The 21053-nt window shown below is 41.7% G+C and overlaps 1 pseudogene, besides 1 other annotated feature; it reads left to right on the forward strand.

Annotated features, from left to right (window-relative positions):
- Positions 865–1366: an enhancer, noted in NCBI's record as "NANOG hESC enhancer chr21:11186421-11186922 (GRCh37/hg19 assembly coordinates)". NCBI's record gives its function as "activates a minimal SCP1, AML or CMV promoter by ChIP-STARR-seq in primed H9 embryonic stem cells {active_cell/tissue: H9 hESC(primed)}" and the evidence as "EXISTENCE:reporter gene assay evidence [ECO:0000049][PMID:30033119]".
- On the forward strand, positions 5970–7016 carry EIF3FP1 (eukaryotic translation initiation factor 3 subunit F pseudogene 1; annotated as a pseudogene).

The following is a 21053-nucleotide window of genomic DNA, read 5'->3' on the forward strand; positions in this document are numbered from 1 at the left end:
TATAATATAAAATATATAATTATATATATTGTATAATTATATATAATTATATTTATATAATTATATATAATTATATTTATACAATTATATATAATTATATAATAATATATAATATATACTATATACATTATATATTATATAATATATAATACATATAGTTTATATTATATATAATATATAATATATATAATATATAGTATATAATATATACTATATATTATATATAACATATAGTTTATATTATATATAATATATAGTATATAATATATATGATATATAATATATCATAATATAAGTACATTATATTATTATATATTATATTAAACATATAATATATATATTATATAGAATATAATATTATATAATATATAATAATATTAAATTAAATAATAATTATAATATATATTATGATATATAATACAATATAATATATTACATATCTTATAATATATATGTAATATATATATTTTATATATGTCATATATATTACATATCATATATCATACACAATATATAATATATATCATATATGTAATTTATATCATATATAATATATATCATATATAATATATTACATATGAAATATATTATATATATTATATATCACATATTATATATCATATATATAATGACATATATGTAATATATATTATATATTATCATATATATAATATATAATATATAATATATAATATATATAACATTTTATATACAATAAATTATATATTTCATATAATATATATTCTATGTCATATATATTATATATAATATATGTAAATGACATAGCATATATATTATATATATCATATATTAGGACATATTATATATGATATATATTATATATTACATATGTCATTTATTATATATATATAATTTTTTTTTAGACAGAGTTTTGTTCTGTTTCACAGGCTGGAGTGCAATGGCGCCATGTTGGCTCACTGCAAACTTTACCTCACGGGTTCCAGCGATTGTCCTGCCTCAGCCTCCCAGGTAGCTGGGACTACACCACACTGGGACTGCACCAGCTGCCACCACGCCTGGCTAATTTTTTGTAGTTTTAGTAGAGACAGGGCTTCACTGTATTGGCCAGGATGGTCTTGATCTCCTCACCTTGTGATCCTCTTGCTTTGGCCTCCGAAATTGCTGGGATTACAGGCCTGAGCCAAGATCCATATTTTTTAAATGAAGAAAAATTTCAAAGGTACTCTGCTTGGTAAAATAATCAAATATGTATATTGAGGAATAAAACATAACCATGAAACATATTTATAACTGCATATGGAAAATACAGAGGATAATTTTTTAAATAACAAATTTTGAAAGTATTAACTAATAATTTGAAAAGATCGCATTTGACAGGCCAGTATGAACATACCTCGATTGGAGGAACACAGGTTCCCCTTAAGAAAAATCAAAATCAGGGAAAATGAACCCACAAAATTTCAATCTGCTCTGACCTTTGAAAAACTCAGCCCAGACAGTGGCACTTATGACCAAGGGCAGGAGATTTCTAATCCCATCACCATGGCGATAGGGCATAAACATTCCTGGGTGAAGGCACAATCCACATTGTGAGGTCCTAGTGCTGCCATGCAGACAGGTGTGCTTTTACATGGACCGGAAGTTCATTGAAGGCTCAGTGTTTTTTTTCAAAAACTGAATCCCAAACCCACACATTATTATGCTGTGTTTCTTAAAATAAGTTATGAGATGGGAAATAGGGCACCCCCAAATATAGCCAATAGTGAGAGTTTCAAATTGAGGAAAGGCACAACTGATATGTTGAGAATAAACAGAGATTCCATTCTGTTTTTTCTTTTTCAACTTTTATGTTAGATTCAGGGTCTACATGTGCAGGTTTATTACCTGGGTGTATTGTGTGGTGCTGAGGTTTGGGGTGTGAATGATCCCAACACCCAGGTACTGAACATGGTATTCAGCAGTTTTTCAACCTTTTCCTTCCTCCCTCCCCCTCCTAGCAGTCCCTAGTGTCTATTTTCACCATCTTCATATCCATGGGTACTCAGAATTTAGCTCCTACTTATAGGAACATGAGGCGTTTGTTTTCTGTTACTACATTAGTTCACTTCCTGGATTCCAGCTGTAGCCATTTTCCCTCAAAGAACATAATTTCATTCTTTTTTGTGGCTGCATAGTATTCCATGGTCTATATGTACCACATTTTTATCCAGTCCACTGTTGATAGTCCACTGTTGATGGGCACCTAGGTTGATCCCATGTCTTTGCTAATGTGAATAGTGTTGCAATAAACATACAAGTGCATATGTCTTTTTGGTGGAATGATTTGTTTTCTTTTGGATACATATTCGGTAATGAGACTGCTGGGTTGAATGTTAGTTCGGTTTTATGTTCTTTGAGAAATCTCCAAATTGCTTTCCACAGTGGCTGAACTAAATTACATTCCCACCAAAGGTGTATAAGCATTCCCTTTTCTCCTTATCCTCGCCAGTATCTGCTATTTTTTTTTTTTACTTTTTAAAAATAGCCATTCTGACTGGTGTGAGATAATATCTCATTGTGGTTTTGATTTGCATTTCCCTCGTGATTAGTGATGATGAGCATTTTTTTCATGTTTGTTGGCTGCATGTATGTCTCCTTCTGAGAAGTGTCTATGTCTTTTGCCCCTTTTTAAATGGGGTTGTGTTTTGCTTGTTGAATTATGTTCCTTATAGATTCTAAATATTAGACCTTTGTTGGATGCATAGTTTGTGAATAATTTCCCCCATTCTGTAGGTTGTTTACTCTGCTGATGGTTTCCTTTGCTGTGTGGCAGCTCTTTAGTTTAATTAGGTCCCATTTGTCAACTTTTGCTTTTGTTGCAATTTCTTTTGAAGTCTTAGTCATGAATTATTTCCCATAGCCCATATCCAGAATGGTACTTTTGAAGTTTTTCTTCCAGGTTTATTTTAGTTTGAGGTCTTAAATTTAAATCTTTAATCCAACCTGAGTTAATTTTTGTATATGGTGAAAAGGTGACCAGTTTTTTGTTTTTTTGTTTTTGTTTTTTGTTTTTTGAGAGGTAGTCTTCCTTTGTCACGAGGCTGTAGTGGAGTGGTGCCATCTCAGCTCACAGCAACCTCCACCTGCCGGGTTCAAGCGATTCTCCTGCCTCAGCTTCCTGAGTCACTGGGATTACAGGCACGTGCTACCACACCCAGCTAATTTTTGTATTTTTAGTAGAGACAGGGTTTCACCATGTTGGCCTGGCTGGACTCGATCTTCTGACCTTGTGATCCTCCCACATTGGCCTCCCAAAGTGCTGAGATCACAGTCATGAGCCACTGTGCCTGGCCAATAAGGTGCATTATTAACATCAATAAAGCTCAGGAACCAGCTTTCACCATATTTTTGTTTAATTTACAGTTTTTCTCAGAGTCTTTGGAATAGATTCCTCCCTCCATGAGCCAGAGAACTTACAATGTTCACTGCAGTGTCTTTAAATGTAGCAGTAGCAGCTGTGGGTTGAGAACACAAGTCTTCCACTTTTCCTTTTAGAGCCAGCCATTCATGGTGCTCTGTGTTCTTATTCAGCATTGGGTAGGGGCATCTGGGTGCTGGGCATAGCACCAGTGCCCCATGGAGGAGGGAGGCAGGAAGCCCCTTTCTTCCTTCTCTAAAACCTTTTTTCTTTATGTAGATCCAAGTTTTTAGCCTATATCATTTTCTTCTCTCTGGATAACTTCTTTTAACATTTTGACAGATCTACTGACAGCAAATTTGTGTTTCTCTGAGAAAGTCTTTTTCTTCACTTTGGAAAGATAATTTTGCAGGATACAGAATTTTAGTTTGGTGGAATTTTTTTGCTTGCTTGCATGGGTTCTGAAGAAAAGTTTGATGCAATTTTTATTCTTATTCTAACAGGTGTTAGGCCCTGCTAAAGCCCAAGGTGGTTAGACTCTTGTGAAATGGTTTCCCTGGGGCAGGCTTTTGCTAAGGAGAACGGAACACCCAGGGCATATTTCAAAGTAGTTACTTTTCCCCTTCCCTGTGGGAAGCAGGAGGGAATTTTTCTCTGATGTGCATAAGAGCGTCTGGCAGAGCTCTTGGAGGTTCATGAAAGTGTAGGGCCCCCTAAGACTGGGCTCCCTTAATTCTTAATTCTCAAGTTTATGTGCATGGAGCCTCCAGCGATTTGTTGTTTACATGTAAGTCTTCCCACCGTGGTTCTGGCTCCAGTGGCCAGCCTCCGATCCTGTTAGGCTGGGACTCACTGCCTCTCCAATTTGGGGGATAACGGTTTTCCCTGTTAACCTCAAGTCTCTGATGGATCTAAGAAAAGTTGTAATTTTCAGTTTGTTCAAGGTGTTTTTTGTTGTCGTTGTGAGGACAGGAGTGACAGCTTCCAAGCTGGAAAACAGAAGTCACATTTGGGTTTTGTTTCAAGATATTTTTCCAATGACAGAGAATGATGCCACACACATTTCCATAGATGTCTTTTGATGCAGATGTGCATGCGTTTCTGTTATCCTAAGAGTGAAATACCTGAGTCCTAAATGTGCTCCTTTCTAGAACCTTTATTCAATGCCAAACACAGTATCCCCTCCAGCAGTGATGAGAGTTCTTGTTGCTCCAGATTCTCTCCAACACTTGGTGTTCTATCTTTTACATTTTAGCCGTTTTGGAGGATATGTTATCCTGTTGTGATGTTAATTTGCATTTACATGAATACTAAGAAAGCTGAACACATTCAAGTTTTGCTTTTATAAATTACACGTTTAAGTGTTTTACCCATTGTTCTTTCTCTTAGTGATTTTTAAGAGCTCTTTACATATTGTTGATGTGAGCCCTCTGTCAGTTCTGTGTTCATAGATCTGTTTCCACTCTGCAACTTGTCTTGTCACTTTCTTAGTGGTGTCTCTTAATAAACAGAAATTCTTAATTTGAATATAGTCTAATTTATCAACTTATTCCCTTAAAACTATGGCTCATTGTGATCTGTTTAAGAAATCTGTCCCCATTCATGGTCATAAAAATCGTCTGGGCACGGTGGCTCACACCTGTAATTCCAGCACTTTGGGAGGTCAAGGTGGGCAGATCACCTGAGATCAGGAATTCGAGACCAGCTGGCCAACATGGTGAAACCCTGTCTCTACTAAAAACACAAACATTAGCCAGGTGTGGTGGCAGGTGCCTGTAATCCCAGCTACTCGGGAGGCTGAGGCAGGAGAATCACTTGAGCCCAGGAGGTCAAGGCCGCAATGAGCAGTCATTGTACCACTGCATTGCAGCCTGGGTGACAGAGCAGGATGCTCTTTCAAAAATAAACATAAAAGTAAATCTGATGAGCTCTAGGATTTCTAATTTGAAGACAGAAGCAATAAACAAAATGAGAAACCAAAATACATTCGTTTTGATTAAAGCCGAGGTCAGCCATAACTCTGAACCTAAAAAGGAGGTCACCTGAAGCAGCTGTGAGTGAGCAGGGTAAGATAGGAAGCAGAGAACCGATGCTCATTGCCAGATCTTAGGAAAAAAATAATAAATTAGGATGACATACTTTTGCAAAATTAAAGAAATCCCCTGAGGTGCTAATACAAAATTTCATTTGTGATAGGACTAATAAAGAAATTCAGCTAGTAGTGGGATCTGTCGTGGACTGAGTTTGATTCCAAGAACAGAAGAGGCAGGACCAGTGAGAAATAGCACAGACATATTTGCAAAAGCAGCCCTCCCACGTTAGGAAGAAGGGATACTTTTGCACAGTGAACAGCACTACAACTGCTCATCTCTTTCATGTACTATCACACATGGAATGACTGAGATACTCCTGTGTTCCACACATAGTCCTCCCTGCCCCTACTGAATAGAGAAACCCAATTTCACCTTGGCTATCTCTAGATCAATTACCTGTTAATAGGTCTGCTGTTTTCTTTACCGTTAGTTTCAAGAAGAACTAAATATCCCCAAATGGTATTTCAGCTTCCACTTAATGAAACCTGTCATCTTAAGCCAGACCCTGGCCTCAGCACAAGCTCCAGCGCAGACCCCAGCAACCGCTCTGCCTGGTCCTGTTCTTCCAGGGCCCTTCCCTGGTGGCCGTGTGGTCAGGCTGCACCCAGTCATTTTGGCCTCCACTGTGGACAGCTACGAGAGACGCAACAAGGGTGCTGCCCGAGTTATCGGGACCCTGTTGGGAACTGTCAACAAACACTCAGTGGAGGTCACCAGTTGCTTTTCAGTGTCACACAATGAGTCAGATGAAGTGGCTGTTGACATGGAATTTGCTAAGAACATGTATGAACTGCCTAAAAAGTTTCTCCAAATGAGCTCATCTTGGGGTGGTACGCTGCAGGCCATGACATCACAGAGCACTCTGTGCTGATCCATGAGTACTACAGCCGAGAGGCCCCCAACCCCATCCACCTCACTGTGGACACAAGTCTCCAGAACGGCCATATGAGCATCAAAGCCTATGTCAGCACTTTAATGGGTGTCCCTGGGAGGATCGTGGGAGTGTTCACACCTCTGACAGTGAAATACGCATTCTATGACACTGAATGCATCAGAGTTGACCTGATCATGAAGACCTGCTTTAGCCCCAACAGAGTGGTTGGACTCTCAAGTGACTTGCAGCAAGTAGGAGGGGCATCAGCTCGCATCCAGGATACCCTGAGCATAGTGTTGCAATATGCAGAGGATATACTATCTGGAAAGGTGTCAGCTGACAATACCATCAGGAAGGTGGGCCACTTCCTGATGAGCCTGGTTAACCAAGTACCAAAAATAGTTCCCGATGACTTCGAGACCATGCTCCACAGCAACATCAATGACCTGTTGATGGTGACCTAACTGGCCAACCTCACACAGTCACAGATTGCCCTCAATGAAAAACTTGTAAACCTGTGAAGGGACCCCAAGCAGTACGCTTGCTGGTCTAGGTCTTAACCCCAGGACTCAGAAGTGAAGGAAAAATGGTTTTTTTGTGGTCTTGAGTCACACTGAGACAGTCAACTGTGTATGACTCTAATAATCATAGCCTACCTTTTGTAAATTAAAAAAAAAAAGAAGTTAGTTTCCTCCCTGGGGAATCATTATCTCTAAATGAGGAGAACCCAAAGTTTCACAAAAGGGAAGAAAAAGTCTGCAAGTGCAAATTAGGCATAATAGTGCAGGGAGCCCCCTCCCCTTGACTTTCAGATTCATGTGTTTTTGTTGTAAGATAAATAACACTACACGGTGGTCACTGACTCTAAGTTTATACCACACACTGTAGGACAACATCCCAACCTCACTATGTGTTGTTTACCAGCTGGGAGCATTAACTGAGTTACATGATTCCATTCCATCATGTCAGATTCTTCTAGGTGATAGGGATTATGTTGTAAATCCAATGAATTGCACAAACATGAGCCTAATACCATATTTTTTTTGCAGTGAAATGAATTCCTTAGTCAAAAACAATGTTGTATGGGATATCATGATGGTGAATAACAAATTATTTAAGTTCACTCATGGTAGTACCAGCAGAAAAATTGCAAATGTAAAAGGTGAGTTCGTACCCAGAATAAGTGTCTATTTCAGTGAGAACAAAATCCCTGAGGGATGGGTTTCAATGTCATCAATCTGCAAGTTGACTGGGTAGCCCCTGAGGGAAGGCTGTCATATTAGCCTTAGTTGTTCTACATTGGTCCAGATACAATTTGATTATGTAAAGTCGTGAATACCTTCTATCCTTAATATTATGTGCATCTGTTCATGAGCCCATTGAACAAGTATCAGCTGACTAACATCTATTATATAACATGTCATTGTATGCATACGATTACTCCTCTTCAGTGGATTCCCTCTAATAAGAATTTACTTGGGCTACAAGTATTTTCATACTTCGTGTCTATTTTAAGAAGTCATCTTCGGCTGGGCTTGGTGGCTCACACCTGTAATCCCAGCACTTTGGAAGGCCAAGGTGGGCGGATCAGGAGGTCAGGAGATCAAGAACATCGTGGCTAATACAGTGAAATCCAGTCTCGCCTAAAAATACAAAAAAATTAGCTGGGCCTGGTGGTGGGCACCTGTAGTCCCAGCTACTCAGGAGGCTGAGGCAGGAGAATGGCGTGAACCCAGAAGGTAGAGCTTGCGAGCTTGCAGTGAGCTGAGATCGCGCCACTGCACTCCAGCCTGGGTGACAGAGTGAGACTCTGTCTTGAAAAAAAAAATCCAACTATTCAAAAGTAAAGAAAAAAATATGTCAATCCACCATGTGTCCACTGCACACCATCACAAATTTTAAACCATGCATGAGCTCACATTTTGAATAGAAGGATCTTGGGGACAGGGGACACTAAAAGCCCCAAATATGGTCCTGTGTGGCATAATGGTTTTTTGGTAAATGCTACACTGCATACAATGGTGGTCGCTTAAGATAACAGAGCTGAAAAATTCTTACCATCTAGTAACACTGTGGCCATGATGACATCATAGCACAACGCATTACTCATGTGTTTGCAGTGAGGCTGGTATAAGCAAACCCACTACATTTGTCAGTGGCATTAAAGGTTAGCACATCTAATTATGTACCATATGTCATACTTGTTAATGATAATAAATGACCATGTGACTAGTTTATGTACAGTTGCTCCTTGAACAGCATGGATTTGAAATGCACAAGTTCACTTATATGCAAATTTCCTTCTGTTTCTCCCACCCCTGAGACAACAGGATCAACTTCTCCTCTTCTCTTCCTCAGGCTGCTCAACATGAATATGCAGACGAAGACCTTTATGATGATCCACTTTCACTTAATGAATAGTAAACATATTTTCTCCTCCTTATGATTTTCTTAATAGAATTTTCTTTTCTCTTTCTTTAAGAATACAGTATATAATTAACAAATTATGCATTAATTGTTTATTTGATCAGCAAAGCTTGCAGTTAAGAATAGGCTATTAGTAGTTAAGTTTGGGGATAGCCCAGAGTTATATATGGATTTTCAACTGCACAGGAGCTGGTCCCCTAACCCTTGCACTGTTCAAGGATCAACAGTATTTACAATACTATACATTTTATTCATATTTTAGAGTGTAGTACTTCTACTCATGAAAAATAATTAACTATAAAACAGCGTCGGGAAGGTCTTTCAGGAGTTCTTCCAGAAGAAAGCCTTGTTATCATAGAAGATGACAGCTGCATATATGTTATTGCCCTTGAAGACCCTGAAGACCTTTCACTGGGACAAGATTTGGAGATGGAAGACAGTGATATTGATTATCCTGACCCTTACAGGGCTAAGCTAGTGTGTGTGTTTGTATCTTAGTTTTTAACAAAAAAGTTTAAAACATAAAAAATAAAAATAAATAAAGCTTATCGAATAAGGATATAAAGTATTTCTGTACAGCTGTTCAATGTGTTTTTGTTTTAAGATGTGTTATTATAAGAATCAAAAAGTTAAAAAAATTAAAAGTTTATGAAGTTACGATAAGCTAAGATGAACTTGTTAAAGAAAGAAAAATTTCAAATACATTTAGTGTAGCCTAAGTGTACAGTGCATATAAAGTCTATAGTTATGTACAGTAATATCCTAGGCCTTTGCATTCACTCACCAAGTACTCACTGACTCATCAGAGCAACTGCCAGTCCTGCAACCTCTGTTCATGCTAGGTGTCCTATACTGGTGTACCACTCTCTTTAACTTTTGTAATATATATATATATATTTTTTTTTCTTTCTTTTTTTTTGAGAAGGAGTTTTATTTTGTTGCCCAGGCTGGAGTGCAATGGCACGATCTTGGCTCACTGCAACCTCTGCCTCTGGGGTTCAAGTGATTCTCCTGCCTCAGCCTAATGAGTAGCTGGGATTACAGGCCCATGCCAGCACACCCAGCTAATTTTGTATTTTTAGTACAGATGGAGTTTCTCCATGTTGGTCAGGCTGGTCTCGAACTTCTGACCTCAGGTGATCCGCCTGCCTCGGTCTCCCAATGTACTATGTTTTTACTGTATCTTTTCCATGTTTAGATATTACTATTGTGATATAACTGCCTACAGCAGTGGTCCCCAAAGTTTTGACACCAAGGACTGGTTTTGTGAAAGATAATTTTTCCGCGGAGTGGGGATGGCTTTGGGCTGAAACTGTTCCACTTCAGATCATCAGATCATCAGGCATTAGATTCTATTTTTTCTTTTTTTTTTTTTTTAGACTGAGTCTCCCACTGTCGCCAGGCTGGAGTGCAGTGGCACAATCTCGGCTCACTGCAACCTCTGCCTCCTGGGTTCAAGTGATTCTCCTGCCTCAGCCCCCCGAGTAGCTGGGACTACAGGCATGCGCCACCACACCCAGCTAATTTTTGTATTCTTAGTAGAGACGGGGTTTCCATGTTGGCCAGCAGTGTCTTGACCTTGTGATCCACCTGCCTCGGCCTCCCAGAGTGTTGGGATTACAGGCATGAGCCACAGCACCCAGCCTAGTTAGATTCTTATAAGGAGCACACAACCTAGATCCCTTGTATGTGCAGTTCACAATAGGGTTTGCGCTCCTGTGAAGGTCTAATGCTGCTGCTGATCTGACAGGAGGTGGAGCTCAGGAAGTAATGCTCAGCTGGCCAGCCACTCATCTCCTGCTTTGTGCCCAGTTCCTAACAGGACACGAACCGGTGCTGGTCCATGGCTTGGGTGTTGGGGACTACTGGCCTACTGTATTCAGCACAGTGACGTGCTGCACAGGTGTGTAGCCCAGGAGCAATAGGCTGTACGATATAGCCTAGGTATGTTGTAGGCTACACTGTCTAGGTTTGTATAAACTACATTCTATGGTGTCTGCACAGCCACAAAATCACGTAATGATGCATTTCTTGGAATATATTACCATTAAATGAGATTTACCTGTATTAGTGTCATCTCAGGTTTATTGTCTAGTAATTTTAAAAGTATTTGTATATTCTTTCCCAGACACATCATCATACTCCGGTGCATATCTCTATTTTATTCCCTAGACCCATTCTTAATTTTTCTACGTTCTGCTTTGTTCCTTAGGAGGCTCACCTGAATTGGATACTGCAGAGATCTCCCTTACCCTCATGCTTTTATTGGGGTTCAGCTAATGGAGGGGGTGGCAGAAGATAGGTGAGAGAAGAGTGTGTTTATCCCCCACCTCTGCCCCTGCAGGGTCAGCACAGGCAGACTGTGTCCCTTTGCTGAAGATCACAGCTTCTGTCTGGTGCCTTCTTGGCAAGCTGGCACTCTCTCTAGTCAGGTGACTGCTTGGCCCCTTACTACTTACACTCTTCTGTCTGGTTTCTTTGTGTCTTTCCTGCTGTGCTGTAAGTAGTCCCTTTATTAGAATCCATCCACATTACCCAGTTATATAAAGACAAATAGTTGGTCACTGATCTAGTTCACTCCCTAAGAATCAGCCTTCATCAAAGATCCCTAGCAGTCAGATATTCTGTTGGCCGCTCCATTCCTGCTCCCCATTATTCTAGTTGTGTCTTCCTTGTCTCTAGTGCAATCACAAAGCATAAGCGCCTCCACTGTCACTTGTTCTAGGATCACATCATTCCCCTTGAAATCAGAGAACCCACAATCTCCCCAAGCCCACAAAATTCAGCCGTCACAGTACTTTTCAAACATGCCAGCAGCCCTCCCCAACAAACGAATCCTTAATTTCTTAGAGAAACATCTTCTGGGGCTTCCTGTGGGACACAGTGGGGGTCGGCTTGGCATGTGGATCACACCTGATATTTTTACCCCCACCTCCTACTATTCCTATTCCTTTGTATGCACCTCTCTTTATTATGCTAGGAAAGCTCTGGCAACACAACCTCAAAATAAGCAGGCCAGTGTGGATTCACAGTTTCTGTCAGACAAACTTGAGCACCCCTTCTAACTTCTTGGGCTAAGACTTTAACTTCAGAATCTCTATGTATCCATGTTGATAAACTTAGCCTATGTCAAGATTATATTCTGCATGCCTTAGTCAAACACCATGTAAATCTATGCCTCATATATTCTCTAGGCTTTAGCTGATAGGGATTAGCAAAGTAGTGTGGTTGTTTTGGTCTTTAAACAATGTCCATTTTCTACCAGCTTTCCATTGCACTCTTTTTTTTTTTTTTTTGAGATGGAGTCTTGCTCTGTCGCCCAGGCTGGAGTGCAGTGGTGCAGTCTCGGCTCACTGCAAGCTCTGCCTCCTAGGTTCACGCCATTCTCCTGCCTCAGCCTCCCAAGTAGCTGGGATTACAGGCGTGTGCCGCCACGCGCGGCTAATTTTTTGTATTTTTAGTAGAGACGGGGTCTCACTGTGTTAGCCAGGATGGTCTCGATCTCCTGACCTCATGATCGGCCCGCCTTGGCCTCCCAAAGTACTGGGATTACAGGCGTGAGCCACCACGCCGGGCCGACTCCATTGCACTCTTACAGACCATGTTGACAAAATTATAACTGCAACAGTCAACTACAATAGCAATTTTACCTCTCATATACCACTTGAAAAAACACATCATTCCCAATAACCACATTTGATGATTTAAGTAATCACGATACCACCGTACACTACAGATGATCAGGTTTCTGTCTCCTCCTGACAAGAAGGTCAGGAATTCATTCCGACTAAAACGGGTCAGCAAACCAGTTCCAGGTTCTCATCTGTAAAGATCTACTTCTAGAGGTGTCCACCTGGAGCCTGGTGAACATTGGACATCAAACACCAGGTTGACACTATTTCTTCATCTTCAACAAAAACCACACAAACAAGCTTTGGAGAAAGAACTCCCTCCTCTCAATAGATGGTGCTGGGATAAAACGGCTAGCCAGTTGCAGAAGAAAAACAGTGGGCCCCTGTGTCTCACCATGTACAGAAATTAACGCAAGATGAATGAAAGCTGTAAATGCAAGACCTCAAACTATTAAAAGCCTGCAAGGGAACCTAGGAAATACACTTCCTGACAGAGGATTTGGCACAGCATGGATATGCCTAAGTCCCCAAAAGCAAGTGCAACTAAAACAATTATTGACAAGTGGGACCTAATATATAAAAGAGCTGCTGAACAGCAGAAGAAATTACCAACAGAGTAAACAGAAAGCCTACACAATGGGAGAAAATGTCCCCACATATGCATCTCATGAAGTCTGATTTCCAGGATCTACCTCAAAAATGTTAAGCAAATAAATCAGCAAAACAAAAACTCAGTGAAGAAAGGGCAAAGGGCATGAAAACACACATCTCAAAGGAAGGTTTATAGCAACCAACGGACAGGACATTTCTCTACCTCAGTAATCATCAGAGAAATGCAAAGCAAAAGGCCCATGAGATAGTATTTCACACTGGTCGGAATGACAATTATGACACAGTCCACAAGAATGAATGCCAGCGAGGCAGAGGAGGAGAGGATGCTGGTCTGCTGTTGGTAGAAATGCAAACTAGTTCAGACACCATGGAAAACGATGTGGGGATTTCTCAAATAACTTTCTCGACATCACCAATCCTCACAAAAATGTCCACAAAAACCACACTAAGAGTCCATCTCATTCCACTCAGAATGAATACTACCAAAGACAAACAAAACACAAATTTTTAAAGGTGACAGCCAGTGTAGACTTACAGAAGAGAAACCTCTTAAATGCTATTGGTGGGGATGTAAATTAGTATACACACTATGAAAAACAGCTAGAGGTTCCTGAAAAAATTCACAGTACAACTACCATGTCAGCTAGAAGCCCCATCACTGGTTCCACAATTAAAGCACTTGAAATCCCTAGGTTGAAGAGAGTTACCTGCCTTCCCATGGGTACTAAAGCACCCCTAACTGTGGCCAAGGTACAAAACCAACCTACCTGTCCGTACACAGCTTCAGGGATGAAGAAACTGCCATACAGATACACCACGGAATATGTTTCAGCCATAAAGCTTTGGGAAATCCTGCCATCTGCAGCCACATGAAGAAACCTGGAGAACATCAGGTCCAACAAATGAGCCTGGCAGAGAAAGTCCCATGCCACGTGATCTCAGACATGTAGACTGAAAAAAGCTTTATCTCCTAGAAGTAGAAAGTTCAATAGGGATTACCAGAGGCTGCTGGGGAGGTGGAGAGGGTCGGGGAAGGAATCAGTAATGGGTACAAAGTTACTCTTAGATGACAGTAATCAATTCTGGTCTTCTATTCTACAGCAGGGTGACTAGCCTTAATACAAATGTATCATATATTTCAAAGTAGCTAGAAGGAAAGATTCTGAATGTTGTTACCACTCAAAAAGTAGTAACTATGAGGTGAAGAGATGCTAAATAACTTGATTTTTTCATTACTCAACATATACATGTATCGAAATCTTCCTTGTACCCTCTACTTATATACACTTAGTGTATGGCAAATAGTGTTTTAAGAAATACAAAGAAACAATGCCAAAATTTATGTGGAAATACGAAACACCCTGAATTTCTAAAGCAATCCTGAGAAATACAAACCATATGGGCTGCATCACATTCCCTGAGTTCGAATTAAACGAAAATCCCTAGTTAACCAATCCATATGTTACTGGCATACACAGAGAAACACAGACCAGTGAGCAAAATGAGAGCGCTCAATAATAAACACAAATTTACACAGAGTGAACACATTTTTCAAAACACCACCAAAACAACACAATGGGGAAGGTTTCCAAAACTAGATATCCATATGCAAAAGAATAATACAGGACTCTTGTGGTACTAAATAATACAGGACTCTTGTGGTACCAAAAAAAACACTTTAACTCAAAAGGATTAAAGATTATTCACAAAACTTGCAACCATAAAGCTCTTATAAACACAACCTCGAGTGTGTGTATATTTAGGGAAGCTTGGATGTATGCTCACGGTTTGCAAAAAGTGTGGTACTAAATAATACAAATAGTGTGTACTAAATAATAAAAAATATTTTTATTTTGTATTATTTTGTATTTATACTAAATAATACAAAATATATTTAGTGTACTAAATAATACAAAAAGTGTGGTACTAAATAATACAGAAATAATTCACAAAACTTGCAACCATAAAGCTCTTATAAACACAACCTCGAGTGTGTGTATATTTAGGGAAACTTGGATGTATGCTCACAGTTTGCAAAAAGTAACAAAAATACAAGGGAAAAATCACTGACAATGGACTGCTTTGGCACTGATTTTGTTTTTTCTTGATTAGTAAACAATAGCACACTAACCAAGAAATTATACACATGTGGTACCTCATCAAACTGAAGAATTTGTGCCCAAAAAAGGAAAGAACGAACAAAATGAAAAGGCATACTAAAACTTATAAGAAAAGTTTGGGCAAACATACAGTGGATAACAGGTTACTTTTGAAAAGGCACAAGCCAGTAACACTAACAGCTGGCAAAAAAACAAAACAACAGAGAAATAACCAGACCAAAATTGGGCAAATAACCTGAGTAGATATTTGTGCAAAGAAGACAGAAAACAGATTCAACATTTATAAAAACGTGGTTAACATTACTACTCATGAGAAAAATGTAGATCAAAACCACTCTCAGATCTTATCTCACTCCAACTAGAATGAACATCACAAAAAGATTAAAATATTTAAAAAGAAAATTCCTAGTATGAATTTCCAGAAAGGGGGACTGTTTGTGGAAATGTAAATTGGTATTAACACTATAAAAAACAGTTGGGGGTCCTGCAAACAATAGAAAAAAAAAAAGGAAATACCATACCATCTAGCAGTCCCACTACTGGCTATACATTCAACCTACCTGTTCACCCACAGATAAAGAGATCAAGAAACTCTCATATACATACACTGGGGAATATTCTTCGGCTATCAGAATAATCAAACAGTGTCATTTAGAGCAACCCAGATGAACCTGGAAAACATTATGTTAAATGTGATGAGCTAGGCCTAGAAAGACAAACACTGCATGATACCACTCATGTGAAATCTTAAGATGTTTATCTTAAAGAAGTAGAAAGCACAATATTGGTTACCAGAGTCCGGGAGACAGAAGGGGAATGGAGAAGGATTGGTTATGGAAACAAAGTTATCTTAACATTAAAAGAATAAATCTGAGTGTTCTCCTCAGCCTGGTGACTGGACTTAACCGTATTACATTTTTCTAAAGAGCAAGGAGAATTTTGAATGTTCTCTTTACACAAAAATAATACCTGTATGAGGGAATAGAGATCCTAAGTACCCTGATTTGATCATTACCCAATATATATGTATAAAAATGTACCCCTAATTATGGCCCTTTATGTTGTAAAAAAATTAACAGAAATAAATACATAGTGCTAAAAATCACAGGGAACCACAAAAGCAATGAATATCTAAAGGAATCTTGAGAAATACAATCAAAGTGAGAACCCATAATCCTTGATATCAAATTAAATTGCCAAGTTGTAGTTATGCAGTAGATATATGGTACTTGCATAAAAAGAAATACCTAGAACTATGGACAAAAACAGGGAGGACAAAAACAACACAAATATGGACACAGTCAACTGACTTTGATAAAGAACACCACAACGTGGAAGGCAGAGTCTGATCAATGAATAGCTTTGAGAAAAATGATATCCGGATGCAAAAGCGAGAAACAGGACCCTTATTTTACACGATGTATGAAAATCAACCGCCCCCCCCATCAACTGAAGGCCAAAACAAAATACCATAAACCACAAAATGTTTTTTAAAAAATTACTGTGTTTACTTAAGTAAAACACAGGTTGAGCATATATTTTGGGTCACTTGAATCTCTGTTAACCTTTGCAAAGAGGAAAAGAAACAAACACCCTGGAAGAAAAACCTCACTGACAATTAAATGCTTTGTTACTGATGCATATTTTCTAATATGGGTGACCATTATGACACGCATAAAACGCAAAAAAAAAAAAATATGGGACTACATCAACGTGAAAAGTTTCTGCATAGCAAAGAAAACTACTTTCCAAATAAAAAAGCATCCCATAGATTATGCAAAAATTTCAGGCAATCATGTAATTCACGAGGAGTTGTCAACTAACGTGTACACAAAAAAGAGTACAAAGTAGAAAAAGAATCCAATCTAATATTTCGCAAATAACCTGAAGAGACAATTCTGCACAGATATAAAATCGAACAACAGATAAGAGATAAGGTCCTCAAAATTAACTATTCATTAGAATACTGTAATTCAAAACCACACGCAGATAGTCTCACACTTATTGAATATTCCTAGAAAATTTTTTTAAAAATAGGAGGGTCTGGGAGCCGTGGCTCACGTCTGTAATCCCAGCACTTTGGGAAGCCAAGGCGGGTGGATCACCTGAGGTCACGAGTTTCAGACCAGCCTGACAAATATCGTGAAACCCCGTCTCTACTAAAAATAAAAATACAAAAATTACCCGGGCGTGGTGGCGGGCGCCTGTAGTCCCAGCTACACAGGAGAATTGCTTGAAACCGGGAGGTAGAGGTTGCAGTGAGCCGAGATGGCGCCACTGCGCTCCAGCCTTGGAGACAGAGCGAGACTCCGTCTCAAAATAACAAAAACAAAAACAAATTGGAATGGGGGTTTGGTTTTGGAGAAAGGGGAACTCATACACTGTAGGTGGAAATGAAAATTAGGGTACACACCATGGAAAACAGTTAAATAGCTGGAAACTCCTCAAAGAATTGAAACTACAGATGTCCCCTGCTCTAGCGAGGTCTCTTTCTAAAGGTCCTGAGGCATAAAAAATAACCCTAGACCCCAGCTCAGAGGCCCGTGGGGCTCGGAGGGACCCAGTCCAGCGCTTCACCGCCGGCTCTGGGCCAGGGCGCTCCTATAGGCTGGACGTGGGTCGGACAGGGGCATAGCCTTCCCGGCGGGGGTGTGGACGCTGCCGAGGCCCGGATCCCACAACCGCCCCAACGCTGACGACTCGGGCCCAGATGCCCACTTAGAAGTGAGGGCCCGAAAGCAGGGAGCGGCCGGGAAGGAGTAGGGAGACCCAGAGGGTTCCAGGTGGGGTTCATCCCCCTCCACTTACCGCCGAGGCCTGCCACCTCCTCCACCAACAAACGGAAGCCACCACATCTTCTCCGAGACTCGCTCTGACCACGCCGCCGATGCTGCCCGGGCCTCGCACGAAGCGCAGTCTCGGCTTCCGTCGGGGCCTGCATGCTGGCAGCGTCCCTGGCGCCAGGCTGAAGCACCACCCCCTCTTAAAGGGGCCGCGGCTGGGACTGGGCAGAAGCAGCTTCGGGTTGCACAGGCTGAGCGTCTGCCCAGCCCCAGGGGTGGACGAAAGGCCCCCAGTCTCTCATCCTCCCGGGCTCTAGGGCCCTAGAGGTCGCAGAAGCCCCTCCTGTGACCCCAGCCCCTAAATCGGCTCCCTTTGCCTGAGGAGCGCCCGGGACCTGCCCCTGCCCTCCTCGGGACCTCAGCTTCACCATCCTCAAAGAAAGCGGCCTGGCTGGAGCTCTGGGGTCCCTCAAGCTCGGCGCCTCAGGATCCAGGGTGGGCTCCCCTGCCCCTCTGCAGAGGGGGCCCAATAGCCACGGAAAGCTGGGGGCTGGAGGGACAGTCCCGAGGGCAGCAGGGCGTCCTTGGCCTCACCGTCTACATTCGTCCTGTGGGAGCCCGGGTGCGTCGCTAGGGCCCAGACTCCTGCGGCCTCACCAGGGCTGCCTGGGTCACCGGGCTCCCCAGGAGGCAGGCAGGGACCCTGGGGTCCAGCGCTGCCCCCACCTCAACTCCATTCAGCGTCAGCATCCGCGAGGGGATCCTGCGGACTGGACCCAGACCCACTCCTTCCCGGGGAGCGGGACCCGCATCGGTCTCTGTGACACCCAAGGGAGGGGCCGTGCTGACCTCTCCCGGGGATCTGGGGGCGAGGTGGGGGAATCTCGGCCACCTCTTGAAGCTCGCTGAGCCCCCCACCCCAGAGAGCGCTCAGGAGCAAAGGAAAGGACGGAGAGCCCACACATTTTCTATCTTTCATTTCCGTTTTTTCTTTTTTCCCCCCTCCAAAATGAAAGACGTGTGTAGCTTTGTCCCCTGTACACCATCCATTTCCCAGGGCCGCTGTGCGGATCCAGCCCGCTGGTTGCCTCTAGAGTCCTGGGCGCCCGGCGGTCCGCATGCAGCCCGGGGCCTGCCCAGGTGAGGTCTGCGGCCGCCACAGCGCTGAGGTCCCGCTTGGCCGGGGCGCACGGGCCGCTGGGGATGCTGGCTGCGAGGCTCCGGGGAGGTGGAGCGGGAGGTTGTCCCAGGCCCTGGCTGCAGAGCTCTTGATGTCACGCCTGACACCCTCCATCCACCGCCTCGGGGCAGCGCTTCAGAGCCCCGGCAGAGGCAAGAAGTCGATCACTTCGTTCTTCATTCGTTGGAAAAATGGAAAAGCACATTATAATCCCTGGAACAACCACTTCAGAGAAAGAGCAAAAAATTAAAATAGGATTGTAAATGACACACTGAAATAAGTTGATTTTAAAAATGGTAGTCAATGGAAAAACAGGATCAGAAGACAGGAGAGACAGGGAAAACAAATAAGTTATCTGACTGAAACAGAATTAGAAACTAACAACAGTAAGAAATATTGGACATCTGAAAATATGTGAAAATTTAACAACCCACCTCTAAATCATTGGATCAAAAAAAATCACAAGATAAATTGGAAAATATTTTGAGCTGCACTCCAGTTTGGGTAACAGACTGAGACCTTGTTTCTAAGAAAACAAAACAAACTTCAAAAAGCTATAAAATTAAATGCCAACTTTCCCCTTTACCCAAACTATCCGTGGCTCTCCTTTGCCCTCAGAGTCAAGCCCATGCTTCTCACTGTGGGCTCCAGGACCTAGGTGGCCTGACCAATGCACACCCTATCACGATCTCCTCCTCTGCCCACTTGCTCACGCTGTCCAGTCACACACACTCTTTATTTTTGCAAATGCCAAGCTCCTGATCACCGCTGGGCCTTTGCCACTGCAGTTCCGCCTGCCAGGACCAGTCTTTCCCTAGACCTTCCCATTCCTGCCTCTTCCTGGCTTGGCTGCCTCTTTCTGGTGCTTCAGGTCTCAGATCAAATGTCACCTCTTCAGAGAGGACTTCATTGAAATCTCTGCCTAACACAGCCCGTATCAAGGTCAACACTTTTCTCTTTTTAGACTTAGGTTTTGATATAAAGAAGTTTCATAAAAATGACTTGGGCAGCTATCATCTGTTTAAAAGGTCTGACTTTGTTGAAATAATTTGGGCTTTCCTGTTCTTTGAGTTTTGATAAAACAACTGTAAAACCATCTGCCTTTTTAAAAAAAATTGAGATTGATGTATACTTTCTGTTATTACTATTTTTTTACATTCTGTCTCCCAGGCTGGAACACAGTTGCTCGTAGCTCATTGCAGCCTCAAATTACCTTGCCTTTGTAACAGTAGGTCCTCAGTCACCTTTCTCATCTACAGATGTTGGTTTACTTAAGCTTTCTAATTACTTGGAGGTCAGCTTAGCTCAGTGGTTAGCACAAGTTGCTAATAAATGCTCGAGTATGAGGGTGCAAAGAAAGGGGTAGGGAGGTGCAAGACCCTTGGCTTCAAATGCCCAGTCCCCTACTCATCTGCTCAGGCCCCTGTCTAGCCTCTGTATCTAAGCCAAACTACATGCCTCCTCCCCTGAGAAGCCCTCTTGGATTTCTCCTGTCCCGTCTTCCCTGCTCTATCCTCGGGTGAGTGGATCCATCCATCTGCCTCTGTGCTGGGCAGATGCCACTGCTCTCTGCTTTCTGGCTGGACGAGGCAAGGGGGAAGTTGTGTGTGTAGAAGTCCCCCTAAACCTTGGCCTTTGCCTCATGCCTGGCACATTCAACCTTTGCTGACACCTCCACAGAAATACCAACCTCACCAACATCTGCAGAATGGGCCACCAGGGTCTGTCTGGAGCTTGGGTGGGATTTTCACTTGACTACAAATACACACACATACACCCTAGGCTTCCAGGTCTGCATTCTTGGCTGACTCTTCACACTTGAGTCCAAGACAGGTCAATGGTTAGTGGCTGGATTTGCAAGCATGTGTGTTTTTGGGCAGGATATCAGCTGGGGCAGTCTGAGAGGAAGTTGTCAAGGGAAGCTAAAGAGGAGGGAGTCAGTCACGTCTCTCT

The sequence above is a fragment of the Homo sapiens genome, chromosome 21 (genome assembly GCF_000001405.40).
Source record: "Homo sapiens chromosome 21, GRCh38.p14 Primary Assembly".
Lineage (NCBI taxonomy): Eukaryota > Metazoa > Chordata > Mammalia > Primates > Hominidae > Homo > Homo sapiens.